The sequence below is a fragment of the Homo sapiens genome, chromosome 7, assembly GCF_000001405.40.
Source record: "Homo sapiens chromosome 7, GRCh38.p14 Primary Assembly".
Classification (NCBI taxonomy): domain Eukaryota; kingdom Metazoa; phylum Chordata; class Mammalia; order Primates; family Hominidae; genus Homo; species Homo sapiens.
In genome coordinates, this window is record NC_000007.14 from 99408636 (window position 1) to 99425989 (window position 17354).

At 50.8% G+C, this 17354-nt stretch overlaps 3 protein-coding genes, 1 long non-coding RNA gene and 2 other non-coding genes across 15 annotated transcripts in view, besides 3 other annotated features; 3 read left to right on the plus strand and 3 right to left on the minus strand.

The window, feature by feature from the left end:
- Window positions 1-390: an enhancer, noted in NCBI's record as "active region_26314". NCBI's record gives its function as "activates an Ori minimal core promoter by ATAC-STARR-seq in GM12878 lymphoblastoid cells {active_cell/tissue: GM12878}" and the evidence as "EXISTENCE:reporter gene assay evidence [ECO:0000049][PMID:35858748]".
- On the plus strand, window positions 334-10981 carry BUD31 (BUD31 spliceosome associated protein). 10 transcript variants are annotated; one of them, NM_003910.4, is made up of 6 exons: window positions 334-610; window positions 1399-1534; window positions 2429-2551; window positions 7503-7625; window positions 8794-8960; window positions 10756-10981. In NM_003910.4, the coding sequence occupies exons 3-6, from the start codon at window positions 2458-2460 to the stop codon at window positions 10804-10806; spliced, it is 435 nt and encodes a 144-aa protein (NP_003901.2). In that variant the 5' UTR covers window positions 334-610; window positions 1399-1534; window positions 2429-2457; the 3' UTR covers window positions 10807-10981. The 10 variants fall into 10 exon arrangements, with proteins under 10 accessions (NP_003901.2, XP_047276962.1, XP_047276963.1 ...); XM_047421006.1 differs by having other exon boundaries at window positions 1402-1534; XM_047421007.1 differs by having other exon boundaries at window positions 334-369; window positions 10527-10981.
- On the plus strand, window positions 537-629 carry MIR12119 (microRNA 12119). The gene has a single exon (NR_162133.1). It is a non-coding gene; the product is annotated as a microRNA 12119 (primary transcript).
- Window positions 3310-3660, plus strand: LOC124901707 (uncharacterized). Its single transcript, XR_007060451.1, has 2 exons — window positions 3310-3348; window positions 3554-3660. It is a non-coding gene; the product is annotated as an uncharacterized LOC124901707 (long non-coding RNA).
- Window positions 5343-5443, minus strand: LOC124901841 (small nucleolar RNA U13). Its single transcript, XR_007060676.1, has one exon. It is a non-coding gene; the product is annotated as a small nucleolar RNA U13 (small nucleolar RNA).
- Window positions 6998-7047: a silencer, noted in NCBI's record as "silent region_18409". NCBI's record gives its function as "represses an Ori minimal core promoter by ATAC-STARR-seq in GM12878 lymphoblastoid cells {active_cell/tissue: GM12878}" and the evidence as "EXISTENCE:reporter gene assay evidence [ECO:0000049][PMID:35858748]".
- The window catches only part of ATP5MF-PTCD1 (ATP5MF-PTCD1 readthrough), a 49429-nt gene continuing 40178 nt past the window's right edge, over window positions 8104-17354 (minus strand). Inside the window, exons 7-9 of the mRNA NM_001198879.2 lie at window positions 16160-16981; window positions 15140-15322; window positions 8104-11514 (exon numbers count right to left, since the gene is read on the minus strand). Coding sequence (NP_001185808.1) covers window positions 11332-11514; window positions 15140-15322; window positions 16160-16981 — 1188 coding nt within the window. The 3' untranslated portion in view covers window positions 8104-11331. The remainder of the gene's footprint in view (window positions 11515-15139; window positions 15323-16159; window positions 16982-17354) is intronic.
- Window positions 8104-17354, minus strand: part of PTCD1 (pentatricopeptide repeat domain 1) — a 22060-nt gene continuing 12809 nt past the window's right edge. Inside the window, exons 6-8 of the mRNA NM_015545.4 lie at window positions 16160-16981; window positions 15140-15322; window positions 8104-11514 (exon numbers count right to left, since the gene is read on the minus strand). Of these exons, the coding sequence (NP_056360.2) occupies window positions 11332-11514; window positions 15140-15322; window positions 16160-16981 (1188 nt within the window). The 3' untranslated portion in view covers window positions 8104-11331. The remainder of the gene's footprint in view (window positions 11515-15139; window positions 15323-16159; window positions 16982-17354) is intronic.
- Window positions 14361-14862: an enhancer, noted in NCBI's record as "H3K4me1 hESC enhancer chr7:99020619-99021120 (GRCh37/hg19 assembly coordinates)". NCBI's record gives its function as "activates a minimal SCP1, AML or CMV promoter by ChIP-STARR-seq in primed H9 embryonic stem cells {active_cell/tissue: H9 hESC(primed)}" and the evidence as "EXISTENCE:reporter gene assay evidence [ECO:0000049][PMID:30033119]".

The following is a 17354-nucleotide window of genomic DNA, read 5'->3' on the forward strand; positions in this document are numbered from 1 at the left end:
GGCCAGCCGCCGCCGCCGCTTCAGTGGCCGCAGTGGCCGCAAGGACCCGGACCTCAGGGAGGCCTCCGCACGAAGTCGGACCGTCCTGCGCGCCGCCTAAGTCCAGGCTTGCCCGTCTGCTGCCAGGCAACAACGCCCCTAGTCTCTCCGTTCGGGAAGACGCGTGGCCCTGCCTGCCACCCACCGGAAGTGAGGGCAAATGGCAACAGCGGCTCTGGAATTCTATACAGGCATTGCTGAGGACACCTAAGATGACGCAATCTCCGCGCGGGTAGGGCGGGGCTCCGCAAGGACCTCATGCCTTAGAGATCGCCTGAAGAGCGGAAGCCTTCTGTCGAGAAGCAGCTACCCAAGCTCCAGGAGCTTCCGGTATGTGTTTTCCCTCTGTTCTCGATTACCTTGGCAACGGCTGAGGCGGGAGACCGGTGGTCTGCACCGTCCTGGAGGGAGATATGAGTGGCTGGACTCTCAGCCAGCCACTGGGATGTGTTCGGGCTTTGGACCTTGAGGCCGGAGAGAGCTCCCGAGAGGAGGCGGCGCCACGTTCGTTCTTCTGAGGGGACGGTAGATTTGGGGGTTTTCCTCTAGGATTCTCGCGCCGTTTCCTCTGGTAGGAACGTCTTCTGTGTTCTGATTGTTTTTCTAAGCTGGGTTCAGATGCTGTCCTTTTTATGAGTTTTCCCTACAATCCTGCACTATCTTCCTTCGCTCCTCCTCGCCTCCTTCCCCTAGCGCCCCAATCTCTCTTACACCTCCCGGCACATCTTTCTTCTCGATCTGATTACCTCCTACGTCCTCTTTCTCCTCGATCTGGTTACCGCCTACCATTTTCACCTCCGAGAGGCCTCTTCTGACTTCCAGGCTGGATCAGGGCCCTCGAATTTCCCTGGGTCGTAGAAAAGCGATCATTCTCTTGTCACAGACTATGCGCCTTGGGGCCGAGACCAGAATTCACCTATTTTTAGCTTCAGCGTAGGGGAGACTAGTGCGAAGACCACTGATTTGGGAGTCAGGAGCCCTCCAGAGTCAGGTTTTGCAAATTCTCAGCTGTGTGACCCTGATTCTACCTTATAGAGTTTGATTCCTCCTCTATATGGTTGTTTTAGAGAGTTCATGAGAGGAGGCTCTGTGGGCGGGGGGGGGGTGGGTCTTTGTAAAGTGTCAGTACAGAAGGGAGTGACTGAATGAATTTGAGAGAGATGAATCTGTTATGCTGAAAGGTAAATACTTAACCTGGGTTCTCTCTGGCAGCAAGGAAATGCTGTGTGGTTTGAAAAACGCTTTGCTATTTAGATTGGGATCGGCCTCTTGTATGGGAACTACCTGACTTTATGTAATATGTTGTTTGGTGTGAAAGAGACCTTGGCAATCAGCCAATCCACTGCCCTCATTTTACAGAAGAAACAGGACCAGAGAGGGAAGGTGACCTGAAAGTCACAGAATAATTTTTTAGAGCTGAACAAGAATCCAAGCCTGCAACTGCAGAGACGAGAGATCTTTCTGCTGTCTATACTCTTGGAAAGCACATCCTAAGGTACTTTGATTTTACAGTCATCTTTCCCTTTTTATTTTATGTTTTGTTTTGTTTTGTTTGTTATTGAGACATGGTCTCACTCCGTCACTTAGGCTGGAGTGCAGTAGTGTGAACATGGCTAACTGAAGACTTTCAACCTCCTGGGCTCAAGTGATCCTCTTGCCTCAGCCTTCCGTGTAGCTCAGACCACAGGCACCCACCACCATGCTCAGTTAATTTTTTTGATTTTTTTTTTTTTTTGGTAGAGATAGGGTTTCACCTCATTGCTCAGACTGGTCTCAAATTCCTGGGCTCAAGTGATCCTCCCATCTCAGCCTCCCAAGGTGCTGGCCAAGACCAGAATTACAGGCATGAGCCACCGTGCCTGACCTTCCATCTTTGCCTTTTTAAATACTCACCCCCATGGCTCCCCGAGTCACAGCCCTCCTTATACTCTATTGTAATTGCTTTTTCTCTTGTCTGTCTCTTTGCTAAAATGTCACCTTCTAAGGGGCAAAGGCTTAACTTTTGTTCTGTGTTCCCAACATCCAGTATAGGGTTAAGCTTTTAGTTGAAGTTAGCTAATGACAACAGCAAATGTCTCTTAGGCACACATTATACACCAGGCATGATAGATACAATTCTAATGAAGTCTTTGCAATGACCACATAAGGTAGCTTCCATTATCCCCATTTTACAGATGAGGAAACAGAGGCTTAGGAAGGTTAAGTACCTTTCTGAAGATCACAGCGGGTAAGTAGCAGAGCCAGGATTTGAACACAGTCTGGGTGCTGAGCCCTGTCCCATAGCTGTGACCCTATGCTGACTCAAGGAAGTCAGCCTGTACCGAAATAATGGCTGGCAAAGGCCTTTGGGGATTTGAGACTCAGAAACCAATTCATTTTTTTCCCCCAGATCTTTGCAGATTATCCTGTGGAAGGAAAATGCCTAAAGTCAAAAGAAGCCGGAAAGCACCCCCAGATGGCTGGGAGTTGATTGAGCCAACACTGGATGAATTAGATCAAAAGATGAGAGAAGGTGAGTAGGGGAGTTCCTGTCTGGGTGGGCTGGGTCCAAGGGTCACAGGCTTAGATGCCCCCAGGGGACAGGCATAAATGCAAATATAAAAAGAGAGTGGTCTACTAACACTGACATGTTGTGTTTGCTTATGAACTTGGGGAAATACTGTAAGTGCCCGAAAATAAGATAACATTAATGAAAAGGTCCTCAGAAAAGGTGTTTTTTTTTGTTTTTGTTTTTGCCAACTCGAATATAAAAGGTTATGAAATATAGATCAAATAGTCTACCTATAGTTATTTACTATTTTGGTTAGATATATATTTAAAATCATACAAAATATATTTACTTGGAAGTGCTATTCCTTTTCAGTATCATCGATTAGTCTTTGCCGCATCTGTTTTCTGTCACTTCCTTGTAAATGGCGTGTGATCCTGCTTTGTGAACCCGTGTCCTATGCTGTCTTTGGAAATTTTATCTGAAGCCACAAGCATCTGTTGGCCTTATATGATCACAGTGTGGCCACTTACCAATTGACTTTTTTATTTTTATTTTTTGAGTTGGAGTCTTGCTCTGTCTTCCAGGCTGCAGTGCAGTGGCGTGATCTCGGCTCACTGCAACCTCTGCCTCCCGTGTTCAAGTGATTTTCCTGCCTCTCAGCCTCTCGAGTAATTTGGATTACAGGCATGCGCCACCATGCCCGGCTAATTTTTGTATTTTTAGTAGAGATGGGTTTCTCCATGTTGGCCAGGCTGGTCTCGAACTCCTGGCCTCAAGTGATCCACCCACCTCGGCCTCCCAAAGTGATGGGATTACAGGTATGAGCCACTACACCCAGCTGAAGTTACTTTTTAAAGTAGCTTTTGAAATGCTTGCTTGTAACTAACCTAATCATGGTTATTATGAGGTCGTACCTCCAGCAGTAATTACTAAATTAAATCAATGTTAAATTACTTTGCCCCTTTTTAAAAAAACTGTTCGTACCAGATAACTTCTATTAAATACTCAGTACTTGTTTTGCAGTTTAGATTTGGATGGGCCTATTGCAGTAATCACGGTCATTTTGGGCTGAGAGATGTCTTCCCGAAACAGCTCTTTATCAAAATAAAGGAAATGGGAGCATGCTGGAATAGAAGAGATTTTGCAAGTCCTTGAAAGTAAATTAACTTCATCTTCTAAAGGGTGACTTTTGAGGGAAGGAGGAACCCTACTTTGTGTTTAGATATTCTTTACCTCCAGACAGAAGTATTCTTTGTTCTGTTTTCTTTTTGTTTTTGTTTTGAGACAAGGTCTCACTTTGTTGCCCAGGCTGGAGTGCAGTGGTTCAATCACAGCTCACTGAAGCCTCCACCTCCCAGGCTCAGGTGTTCCTCCCACCTCAGTCTCCCAGGCAGCTGGGACTACAGGCATCCACTGCCACGCTTGGCTAAGTTTTCTTTTCTTTTTTTTCTTTTTTTTTTTTTTGAGACGGAGTCTCGCTCTGTCACCCAGGCTGGAGTGCAGTGGCGCGATCTCCGCTCACTGCAAGCTCCGCCTCCCAGGTCCACACCATTCTCCTGCCTCAGCCTCTGGAGTAGCTGGGACTACAGGCGCCCGCCACCATGCCCAGCTAATTTTTTTTTTTTTTTTGTATTTTTAGTAGAGACGGGGTTTCACCATGTTAGCCAGGATGGTCTCGATCGCCTGACCTTGTGATCCACCCGCCTCAGGCTCCCAAAGTGCTAGGATTACAAGCATGAGCCACCGCGCCCGACCAACGCTTGGCTAATTTTTTGTAGAGATGGGGGTGTGTTAGTCCATTTTCACGCTACTGATAGACATACCTGAGACTGGGCAATTTACGAAAGAACGAGATCTAATGGACTTACCGTTCCATGTGGTTGGAGAGGCCTCACCATCATGGCAGAGGCCAAGGAGGAGCAAGTCACGTCTTAACATGTGTACCTGCTGAATCTTTACTACCTGCTTTTCTGCTTGGATCACAGCATTCTGTTTGTTGAGCTGAATTGTAATTCCTAGGTAATAGAATGGCTTAAAAGCTGGAGACAGGGAGGGATAGTCTTCTTGACCACTCTTCGCCCTTCTGTTCTTCCCTAAAAACTGAGGAGGTCATAGACAAAGATGAACTTGTGACTGCTGAGAGAGAGAGAACTGCCTTGCGGCAAGTATGAGTGCCACCTGATCCTGCGTGTGTTGAAGGAGCAGCTTCTGCTGTGGCTACTTCCCTCAGAACCTGTAGACTGGTCTAGTTTATTTAGCTTTTCCTCAGCCCTAAAGGACTTTGGCTGGGAGATGAAATTAGAAGTGCCTTCAAGATGATTAGGATGCCCATCTGTGGGCCTAGAATTATCTTGATTAATTATTACGCTGTAGAAATAGATCTGAAAGCATAGGGACCAAGGTTGGTTTTTTGGCTTTTTTTTGTTTGTTTTGTTTTGTTTTTTTTTGAGACAGGGTCATCTGTCATCCAGGCTGGAGTGCAGTGGCACAATGTCAGCTAACTGCAACCTCTGCTTCCCAGGTTCAAGCACTTCTCGTGCCTCAGCCTCCCGAGTAACTGGGATTACAGGCATGTGCCACCATGCCCAGATAATTTTTGTATTTTCAGTAGAGACAGTGTTTTGCCCTGTTGGCCAGGGTGTTCTCGAACTCCTGACCTCAAGTGATCCACCCACCTCGGCCTCCAAAAGTGCTGGGATTACAGGCGTGAGCCACTGTGCCCAGCCGGGACCAACCTTTTAACAGAAGTTACCATTAAATGTCTTTAAAAATCTATGTTTTCTAATTCTGTAATTAAAAAGACTTTTTTTCTTGTCACATGGGTAATGTGCCAACGTTGTGACAAGGTTTGAGAGTGGCATGTCTCACACATGGATGTGAACACCCAAGCACACTCATGAATTACAAAAGGATCCAAAAATAGACATTTTTAATTTAAAACAATTATGTTTAAATTACTTAGCTTATTTTTTATTTTTTTATTTTTTTTTTTGAGACGGAATCTCACACTGTTGCCCACGCTGGAGTGCAGTGGTGCGATCTTGGCTCACTGCAACCTGTACCTCCCGAGTTCAGGCAATTCTCCTGCCTCAGCCTCTTGAGAAGCTGGGATTACAAGCGTGCACTACCACGCCCGGCTAATTTTTTAATTTTTAGTAGTGATGGGGTTTCACCACGTTGGTCAGGCTGATCTCGATCTCCTGACCTCGTGGTCCGCCCACCTTGGCCTCCCAAAATGCCCGGCGGCTTATTCTGTTTTTAAATAACAGCTTTATTGAGATATTAATCATATACTGTAAAAGTGAACCTGTTAAATTATCCAATTAAGGGGTTTTTAGTATATTCACAAAGTTGTACGACCATTGCCACAGTTAGTTTGATGTTTCAAGGTTCATCTGTGTTGTAGAATATATCAGTACTTACTTCATTCCCTTTTTTTTCTTTTTTTGAGACGGGAGTCTTGCTTTGTTGCCTAGGCTGGAGTGCAGTGGTGTGATCTCAGCTCACTGCATCCTCCGCCTCTGGGTTCAAACGATTCTCCCACCTCAGCCTCCCAAGTAGGTGGGATTACAGGCATGCGCCACCATGCCCTGCTAATTCTTTTGTATTTTTAGTAGAGATGGGGTTTCACCATGTTGACCAAGCTGGTCTCAGACTCCTGACCTCAAGTGACCTGCCCACCTCAGCCTCCCAAAGTGCTGGGATTACAGGTGTGAGCCACCGATTCCGGCCAGCCCTGTTTAACTTCTTGAGGAGCCACCTAACTCTTCTGCAGTGGCTCCACCATTTTACATTCCCACCAGGAACGTAGGAGAGTTCCAATTTCTCCACATCCTTCCCAACACTTGTTATTGTGCCATAATTTTGATTATAGTCATCTGTAGGGTCCAGCCCCACAGGGTCGGTGGGTTTCTCCCCGTGTGTGGAGACGAGAGAGCGTAGAAATAAAGACACAAGACAAAGAGATAAAAGACAGCTGAGCCTGGGAATCCCACCAAGACGCGGAGACCGGTAGTGGCCCCAAATGCCAGGCTGCACTGATATTTATTGGATACAAGACAAAGGGGCAGGATAAGCAGTGTGAACCATCTCCAATGATAGGTAAGGCCACATGGGTCACGTGTCCACTGGAAAGCGGGCCCTTGCCTGCCTGGCACCAAGGCAGAGAGAGAGAGACAGCTTATGCCATTATTTCTGCTTATCAGAGACTTTTAGTACTTTCACTAATTTGCTATTGTTATCTAAAAGGCAGAGCCAGGTGTACAGGATGGAACATGAAGGCGGACTAGGAGCGTGACCACCAAAGCACAGCATCACAGGGAGATAGTTAGGCCTCTGGATAACTGCGGGCGGGCCTGACTGATGTCAGGCCCTCCACAAGAGGTGGAGGAGTAGAGTCTTCTCTAAACTCCCCCGGGGAAAGGGAGATTCCCTTTCCCGGTCTGCTAAGTAGCGGGTGTTTTTCCTTGACACTAACGCTACTGCTAGACCAAGGTCCGCTTGGCAACGGGCATCTTCCCAGATGCTGGCGTTACCGCTAGACCAAGGAGCCCTCTGGTGGCCCTGTCCGGGCATAACAGAAGGCTTGCACTCGTTTTCTGGTCAGTTCTCACTATGTCCCCTCAGCTCCCATCTCTGTATAGCCTGGTGTTTCCTAGGTTATGATTGTCGAGTGAGGATTATTATAATATTGGAATAAAGAGTAATTGCTACAAACTAAGGATTAATGATATTCATATATAATCATATCTAAGATCTATATCTAGTATAACTATTCTTATTTTATTTATTTTATTATACTAGAACAGCTCGTGCCCTCGGTTTCTTGCCTCGGCACCTGGGTGGCTTGCCACCCACAGCCATCCTAGTGGGTATAAAGTGGTATTTATTCATTATCAGTAGTTACTTACAAAAAGAAAATCCTGCGCAGACCGACCCTATTCCCCCAAACACACTCTTTGTTTCTCCCCAGCTGAAACAGAACCGCATGAGGGAAAGAGGAAAGTGGAATCTCTGTGGCCCATCTTCAGGATCCACCACCAGAAAACCCGCTACATCTTCGACCTCTTTTACAAGCGGAAAGCCATCAGCAGAGGTAATTAGTCAGTCTCTCTTGGACTTTGAAGCTCGCGTCACTTTTGGAGTTACTGAACTAACCACAATCCTTATTCTCGCAACCTGTGCAAGTCATGGTTTTTCTTACCACGAAAATTAGGGGGAGCCAACGTTGGCTGAGTTTTGTGTGTGTGTTTGTTTTTTGTTTGTTTGTTTTGAGATGGAGTCTCACTCTGTCACCCAGGCTGGAGTGCAGTGGCGCAATCTTGGCTCACTGCAAGCTCCACTTCCTGGGTTCAAGCGATTCTCCTGTCTCAGCTCCCAAGTAGCTGGGATTACAGGCACCTGCCACCACACCTGGCCAATTTTTGTATTTTTAGTAAAGATGGGGTTTCACCATATTGGTCAGGCTGATCTTGAACTCCTGACCTCAGGTGATTCACCCGACTCGGTCTCCCAAAGTGCTGGAATTATAGGCGTGGTCCACCGCTCTTGGCTTTTTTTTTTTTTTTTTTTTTGAAACAGGGTCTTGCTCTGTTCCACAGGCTGGAGTGCAGTGGTGCAATGATGGCTCACTGCAGCCTCAACCTTCTGGGCTCAAGGGATCCTCTCACCTCAACCTCCTGAGTAGCTGTGACTACAGGTGTGCACCACCACACCCAGCTAATTTTTAAATTTTTTGTGGAGATGGGCCCTTGGCCCAGGCTGGTTTCTTAACTCAAATGATCCTCTGGCGTTGGCTTCCAAAAGTGCTGGGATTACAGGTGTGAGGCACCTTGCCTGGCCTAAGTACTTTTTTTTTTTGTTCCTCCTCCAAGGACTGTCCCGTTGCAATACTGAATGCCTTTTTTTTTTTGAGATGGAGTTTCGCTGTCACCCAGGCTGGAGTCCAGTGGCACGACCTCAGGTCACTACAACCTCCGCCTCCTGGGTTCAAGTGATTCTCCTGCCTCAGCCTCCTAAGTAGCTGGGATTACAGCTGCTACCACGCCCGAGTAATTTTTGTATTTTTAGTAGAGACGGGGTTTTACCATGTTGGCCGGGCTGGTCCTGAACTCCTGACCTCAGGTGATCCGCCTGCCTCGGCCTCCCAAAGTGCTGGGATTACAGGTGTGAGCCACTGCACCCGGCCTGAATGCTTTTTTTGATCAAGGGTGGGGAAGGTTTTTAGACCATGGCCTGATGCTCTTTCCCCATCTTTTTGACAGAACTCTATGAATATTGTATTAAAGAAGGCTATGCAGACAAAAACCTGATTGCAAAATGGAAAAAGCAAGGATATGAGAACTTGTGCTGCCTGCGGTGCATTCAGACACGGGACACCAACTTCGGGACGAACTGCATCTGCCGCGTGCCCAAAAGCAAGCTGGAAGTGGTAATGTCTGACACTCAAGCTTGGTGTTGTTTTCAGCTCAAAATTCTGCCTTAGTCGACTGCAAGGGATCTTATGTTATTTGGTTGGGCTGGAATGTCGTTTTGTCCCTGGATGTCCTGCTGGCTCTCCCTCGTGGGAGTGGGTCCCTGTATTCAGGAATCCATGTGAGGCAGCGTGTGGCTGTGTGTTTGTTAGGTCTGGGGTCAATCTCAACTCCACTTTTGGGCAAATTACTGAACCCCTTTCCTCACTTAGGAAATGGTGGTGGGGAGCCCTAATCCCAAGGTGGTGGCAGGGTGACATCAGGGAAGGACAACCAGTGAGTTCCTGTCCCTTTCAGTCCTCACAGTGATACTTTAACATTACCATCACTATCTTTCCCGCCCCCCCAAGACGGAGTCTTGCTTTGTCGCCCAGGCTGGAGTGCAGTGATGCCATCTTGGCTCACTGCAACCTCCACCTCCCGGGTTCAAGCGGTTCTCCTGCCTCATCCTCCTGAGTAGCTGGGACTACAGGCATGCACCACCACGCCTGGCTAATTTTGTATTTTTAGTAGAGACGGGGTTTCTCAATGTTGCTCAGGCTGGTCTCGAACTCCCGACCTCAGGTGATCCACCCGCCTCAGCCTCCCAAAGTGCCGGGATTACAGGCATGAGCTACTGCGCCCAGCCCACTGTGTTTCTTCTTTCAGAACTTTCTGTTCCAAGTACCACTCCTAGGCCAGGCGCCTCAGGAGTGGTGCTGAGGGACAGGAGCTGAGCTCCATCCGGTTCCAAGCCCCTCTGAAAGGCAGCTGTGGCCCGAGGCAGAGTCACAGCAGTGGCCGCTCAGTGCAGCCCCTCAGCACAGTTGTTGGCCCCACCGCCCATCTGCCAGCCTGGCCTTCTTTTCCCCAGCTCCACACAGGGGCCTCTTCACATGAGTCCCCTTTATGCTGCAGTGAGACTGACAATGGAGAGCTGTGGCTGGATGCTGAGGACTTGGGTACTGAGCAGTGGGGGCGAGCAAGGGCCGCCTCCCCGACGGAAGACTGGGGTGTTGGTTTTCTGATGGAGGCAGGGACAGGTGGCAGAGTGGCAGAAGCCCCCTTCCTCTGAGTGCCCAGATTCCACAAGGAGTCCAGGTCAGGGGCTGGTGGGCTGGGGTGCTGCTTCAGCCCTGTGGCCAAAACAGCCCGCTGTAGACTTACCTGGGTTTCACCAGAGGATCCTGTTTACTTAAACTATGGTCTTGTTCTTCCAAAAAAAGAACTTGAAAAAGTAAAATAAACACAAGCCACTGTTCTAGGGCTTTCTGGCTGGCCAAGTGTTGGGCCGCACCAGGCCTGGGGGACAAGACCCTTCTTTCTGGGGGGCTCTGGGCCAGAAGGGTGTGACTCAAGTGCATAGTCTCCTGCCCTCTTCCCCCACCAGAGTGTACCAGCCCAGAGGCCCCCCTGAAGTCCCCAAACAGTAGCAGAGCCACGTCTGCTCATCGCAGGGTCTGTCATGCTCACTTAGCAGAATAACGAGACTCATTCACACCGATTTCTTTTTCTTGATTGGCAAACGTGTGTTGGATTTGCAGAACATATTATAAATAGACATACAGATGTAACCTCGGTGTCAACAGCAGCTGGTTCTACCTTCATGAGGGAGCCAAATTTTCCCTGTCCAGAGCTGTCAAGGAAGGGTTTCTGAGGTGTGTCCCTATATGGCATGGTGGCAGGTCCTTCGTGGGAGGGTTGCCACATATGTGAGTGTGCAGGGGCGAGCGTGGCGCAGTGGCATCGTCTCACTGTCCTCCTCCGTTGCAGGGCCGCATCATCGAGTGCACACACTGTGGCTGTCGTGGCTGCTCTGGCTGAGGCTGGCGCGCTCCACCCTGGACTCTGGACTTCGCAGGTTCCTGCCTGTCACGCCACCCCCTTCCTGGGAGCAGCGAGCAGTGCCCCAGGCCCGAGTTGGAGCACGGTCTCTATGGGGAAGGCTTCGCTGTCTATCAGCTGTGATTTGTAAAAATAAAATCTTTAAATCTCTCGAGCCCCACGTCTCTTCTTTCAGAGCATCGGCCTATGGAACCCGGCGGGGCGGCCCAGGCCCCAGGGACCAGATGCCCCAGCCCCCTTGTGGTGTGTGAGGTGACACACAAAGGTAGCTGGAGCTGGAAGTCCCGTGAAGGTGACACGCAAAGGTGGCTGGAGCTGCACTTGGACCTGCTGGGAGCACAGGCACCTTGGGCCTAGTGTGTGTCCTCACCAACACCTGTGACACGCTGCGGCTGTTCCTCAGGGCCTGGCTCTTCCCCCAGGCAGGAGGTGACACCAGCTCACTTGTCCTGGGGCTCCCACAGAGCACTGGGGGCCGAGCACATTGTTCCAGCTGTGCTCCCATCACCTGCCCCCAAGGGCACATCCGTCATCAGCCTCCTTGCCGGTGTCCTGGTCCCCCTGGGGCTTGGTCCGGAACTTCTGCCAGGGGTGCGGGGTTTCCTCTGCGGGCATCACTGTCAGCCACTGCTTGTAATAGGCTCGGAAGCCGTCAATCTTCTCCAGGTAGGTGTTCTTCCCTTGGTACTAGAATTAGAAAAGTGAGGCTAGAATCACTCCTGTTACCTACAGCTAATCCCAAACCTCGGCAGCTGGCTCAGGCCTCAGGGAAGCTGGTGGCTGCCATTTTCCCTTCCAGGTGGCTGCAGAGGACAGGGCAGAAAAGCTGTGAACACGCACTATGGGACTAGCTTACTTCAGAGAAACAGGTCCCCGCTGGGTACCCTGGGGCAGGCCCAGAGCCATCTGCCCAATGGCGTTCTTCCCAAATAGGCACCACTGTGCTCCTCCATCCGCAGTTGCCACCCCAGGCCCCCAAGCCAGAATCACTGGGTCCCACCAGCTCTGCCTCCACAGCCTGCCGAGCCCCTCCCCATCAAAGCCACCTCCCTCTGACCATTATCTCAACACTGCCAAGATAGGCTCCATGAGATATGGGGAAAAAAGCAAAGACACACCAGACACAAACTGAGAGCTGGTAGGGGAATATACCAAAAAAGCCAAAAAGTGCTATCCAACATACAGCTACTACCACACAATGACAAAAGGTTTGGCCGGGTGCGGTGGCTCACGTCTGTAATCCCAGCACTTTGAGAGGCCGAGGTGGGCAGATCACTTGAGGTCAGGAGTTCGAGACCAGCCTGGCCAGCATGGTGAAACTCCATCTCTACTAAAAATACTGGATGTGGCGGTGCATGCCTGTAGCCCCAGCTACCTGGGAGGTTAAGGCAGGAGAATGGCTTGAACCCGGGAGGCAGAGGTTGCAGTGAGCTGAGATCACGCCATTGCACTCCAGCCTGGGCGACAGAGCAAGACTCCATCTCAAAAAAAAACAAAAACAAAAAAAGGTTTGACTCAAAAGACTGGACAATTCTAAACCTTAAGGTGCCGGATAGAGCCTGAAAGCACAGAAAGCAAAACTCAACAGAATCACGAATATAAACAAGTCCACCATCATGAGGGAATATGAGTACAGATGCTCCTGACAGCAGGGTTCCGCCCCCCAAAAACCCATCGTAAATCAAAAATCAATCTGGCTGTGTGTGCTGGCTCACTCCTATAATCCCAGTGCTTTGGGAAGCCGAGGCAGGCGGATTACATGAGCTCAGGAGTTCCAGACCAGTTTGGGCAATATAGTGAAACCCTATCTAAAAGATTAGCTGGGTACAGTGGTACATGCCTGTAGTCCCAGCTCCTCAGGTGGCTAAGGTGGGAGGACTTCTTAAGCCTGGGAGGTCAAGGCTACAGTGAGCCATAATCGTGCCACTGCACTCCAGCCTGGGCAACAGAGTGATTCCCGTCTCTTTAAAAAAAAAAAAAAAAAAGAAAAAAGAAAATGCGGCACGGCATGGGGGCTCACAACTATAATCCCAGCACTTTGGGAGGCTGGGGTGGGTGGATCACGAGGTCGGGAGTTCAAGACCAGCCTGGCCAAGATGGTGAAACCCCGTCTCTACTAAAAAAAAAAAAAAAACCACAAAAATTAGCCTGGTGTGGTGGCAGGCTCCTGTAATCCCAGCAACTCGGGAGGCTGAGGCAGGAAAATCACTTGAACCTGGGCGGCAGAGGTTGCAGTGAGGCCAGATCGCATCACTGCACTCCAGCCTGGGTGACAGAGTGAGACTCCATCTCATAAAAAACAAAAGGAAAATGCATCTATTGCTGGCAACACAGCAGAGGGTCCTGACTTTATAATTATGCAAAAGTGATATACATTCAGTAGAAACTAACCCCGCACAAAGTCGATCCTTACAGAGTTACATCCTGATAAAACCATTGCAAAGTTGAAAAATCCTGTGTAGAATCATCTTTAAGTCAGGGACATCTGTCTGTGACTTAAATATGATATGCTTTAGGTCTATGATAGTCTTGTGACTGTCGAGTTGAACCCCTAGTGAGCCCTACGCCAGAGGGAAGAGACAATCCACTAGGAAGATATGCACAACATGTGATCAACAAAAAACCAGTACCCAGAATATATAAAAAACCCTGGAATCAATGAGAAAAGGCTTGCAACCAACAGTTCAAAGCACAGACACAGTTCAAAAATGCCCAGCTATGCCTTCAGCCAGACACAATTTCCATTGCTGTCCCACCTATTTGTAGGAAGCCCTCAAAATGGCATTCAGGCGTGACACCTGCACGGCGTTCCTGACCCCGCACCCTCTAGCTGTGTGTGTCCCTGCCCATTTACTTGTTTCCGCCCCATCCGGGCTGTGCTTCAAGCCATAGTGGCTCTCGATGCTCCGGAGATGCTCAGCACAGAGTGTGATTCGATGGACCCAAAAGCCAAACCCCAGAGCCTGATAGCCTCAGAACAGCAGGGAGAGGCTGTGGCCGTGACAAAGCAGATTCCATGACTCTGCCCTGCTCCTGCTGATACAGGAGGTTGAAAGAAATTATTTAGGCAGATAATAAGGGCAACAGAGTCCTTGGCGAAATTTCCCTTTTAATAAAAAGCAGCCCCCAAATAATTTCTTTTCTAACAAAGAGCAGCCTGAAAAATCGAGCTGCAGACATAGATAAGCAAACTGGAAGCTTGCAGGGGTAAATGCTGGCGGCTGTGCCAACAGAAAAGGGCTACCTGGGAGCCAGATATGTTCAACGTGGGGGCCCCATCTTCCCTTCTTTGTTGCCATGTGTACAGTAAAGAACCAGGCAACATGGCGATGGCCACCTGTCTGCATAATAAAAGGTTAGGGTGGGGCACCAGCTTTTATACATGCTATGTAAATGGCACACCTGGTCCAACTAATCTTTTGCGTCCTCTGTAAATCAGACACCACCTCCCCAAGCTCATCTACAAAACCTCTGCATTACACTATGGAAGTGGCAACCCACTTCTCTGGCACCTCTCTCTGCAAGGAGAGAGCTCTTCTCTTTTTTTTTTTTTCACCACCACACCGGGCGAGAGCTCTTCTTTCTTTCGCCTATTAAACTTCAGCTCTTAACCTCTTTTTTTTTTTTTTGAGACCAAGTCTCCATCTATCGCCCAGGCTGGAGTGCAGTGGCGCGATCTTGGCTCACAACAAATCTCAGGTATTCACCCCAGACAATGACACCACTTCACTGCCTGCCCAGTCCCTGAGCAAGCGACAACCTGTTTGGAGTACCCAGCAACGTGCAGGTGCTGGGGACCCAGATGAGCACAGCAGACAGCCTCTGCCTCCAGAAGCCTGATACAGGGAAGGCCAGGGCTGCCCATGAGCACATGATCCAAGACTGTAGGACACGGCATAAAGGAACAGAGTGGGAAGGGGGAGGGGAGACTTTCATCCCAGGTCAGAGCGGCAGCCAGCTGGGCATGTCTGAGGGCCACTTAAGCAGAGACCTCCAGGAAAAGTGGGTGCCACCTGAGGCAGCGGGAACACCAATCCCGAAGCAGGCAAGAGGTTGGTGGCCTCTGCGAACTGACAGAAGGCCACTGGGACAGACAGAGAAAGCAAACGCAAGGCTGAGACATGAGATGAGCCACGCAGACAGGGACTCGCAGGCTGTGGTCTACAGACTTGGGTACTGCTCCTAAGGGAAGCTGCTGGACAGTTTCAAGCATGGCAACACAATCCCAAGGGCCAGAACCGGGGTTGGGTGGTGGGGGGAGGGGGTAGCAATGGTGAAGGAGCTGATGAGCTTTTGAGCTTGGGGCACACACCCGGTCAAAGGTGGGAGGGTACTGGGCTGCAAACTCCAGCTGGCGGATGACCACTTCGTTCACCGGGACCCTGTTCTGCTTCATGTCCTTCAAGATGCTGATGAGATAGGTGTAGTTCAGCTTCCTGATGGCCGCGTTGATGAGGGCACTGTAGATGTGAGTGTTGGGGGTCACCTGGGACTTCTAGAACACAGGGACATCGTAGAATCAAGATGATGGCAGCCATTGGGACCCAGCAGCTCCCACCCTCTGTCAATCAAGCTGGCTCCCGGGACCAGCGGCCAGGGCCAGCAAGGCAAACTTGGCAGCAACAATGTGCTGAATATCCCTCTCCAGCAGGAAAGCCAAGCCCAGCCCCTCTGCTCAGCCCTAAAGAAGCTGCGGAAAAGGACGCTCGTGCTGCTCTCAGACACCGACTGACTCAGGCAGAAAATGATGTGGGAGACACCACCTCCTTGCTCCCTGGGGTGGGCTTCCTGTGACGCACGGTCACCAGGTGGTGGTTGGCCTAGAAAAGTGCAAGCCTTGGCTGGGTGAGCCCGGTAGGGTCCAGGAAAACAGCCAGAGGATGATGGACCTGGGGACACCGACAACCCAGGACGCAGCCTCTGCTGTGGTCGGATGAAATCCACGCAGCACTTCCAATGGGGGTTAGGTGGGAGGCACAGACCTCGGGGGCTTTGAAAACTGCCCACGGCCCCTCAGGAATTCTGAGAATCCCTGCCATACCTCTAGAGTGTTGGGGCCGAGGCCTGTGCCCAGCCCTGTGTCAACCCACGGCCACCTTCTTCCGGATGGGAACATCCGTGTGTCTCTACGCCCAGCCCTGAAGCACTCACTGGGGTCTGCTTCCCCCAAAATGGGACCAAAGACCAGAAGGTCATTGACCCCACTCTCTTTGCCCCATGCACAGTTCATCCTCTCCAGGTGGGGGGTCTGCAGACCCCTCAAACTTTCCTCCTGAGCTGCAGAGTGCTCCTGAGCACCATGGGTGTCCTGCCCAGGCCCGAGTCCACTCACCTTCATGTCTGTGAGAAGCTGTAGACCGTCCTTCGGCCTGTGGCACCCGATGGCCAGGTTGCAGAATGTCTGCAGGTTGGGGACGAGGCCCCTCTTTGCCAGGACCGGCAACAGCGCCTTGGCCCCCTCCAGGTCTCCCAGCTTGCTCTTCTTTCTCACCAGCGTGTTAAAGAATGTCAGGTCGGCCTCTACCTGGTGCTCATCCAGGAGGGCCAGCAGCAAGGACTCTGCAGGACTCCCGGACTCCACCACCTCGGCCAGTAGCGTGAGGGTCCTGATGTCGGGCTGCTGCCTGTGCTCTGCCATCTTGCTCAGGAAGCCCTCCAGGCCCCCTATCAAGGCCAGCCGGTCAGCTGGGGTGGTCACCGTTCCAAAGGAGACCACTGTAGGGGGAACGGCCCCGGGGGTCAGGAGGTTGACTTCCAGCTCCACGGGAGGTGGCTTCAGGGCCACTGCGGTGAGGGCTGCTGTGTGGCTGGGCTCTGCCTTAGTATCCACCTCTGGTTGGGCCTTGCCGGGCACTCTGGCTTCCGGAGGCTCTGGAGGCCCAAGTGCCTGAGAAGGTTCCAGAAACAGCTGCCTCTCCAGGGCCTCCACATGCAGCATGGCTGACATGAGGTTGCCTGCCTTGGCCTGGGCTGTCCTCCTTGGCCGCTGCCTGCTCACTGGGGGCTGAAGCACAGTCGCCTCCTCCCTGGGCTTCAGAAGCAGCTCTGAGGCCACCTGGGGGTCCCCTAGGCCACAGTCCCGAGCTGCCACCAACAGCAGGTTGTAGCTGTCCCGGCTCGGCTGTAGCCCTAGACTCAGCATCAGCCGCCACACCTGCCACGGAAGAGACAAACGTCAGCTGGGTGCTCCCATTCAGCAGCTGGGCGCAGGGCTCACGCCTGGAATCCCAGCACCTTGGGAGTTTTAGATGGGAGGATCCCTTGAGATCAGGAGTTCGAGACAAGACCGGGCAACATAGCAAGACCCTGCCTCAAAAAAATACGCCAGGCGCGGTGGCTCACGCCTGTAATCCCAACACTTTAGGAAGCTAAGGCAGGCAGACTCCTTGAGATCAGGAGTTCGAGACCAGCCCGACCAACATGGTGAAACCCCATCTCTACTAAAAATACAAAAATTATTGGGTGTGGTATTGCATGCCCACAGTCCCAGCTACTCAGGAGGCTGAAGTGGGAGAATCACTTGAACC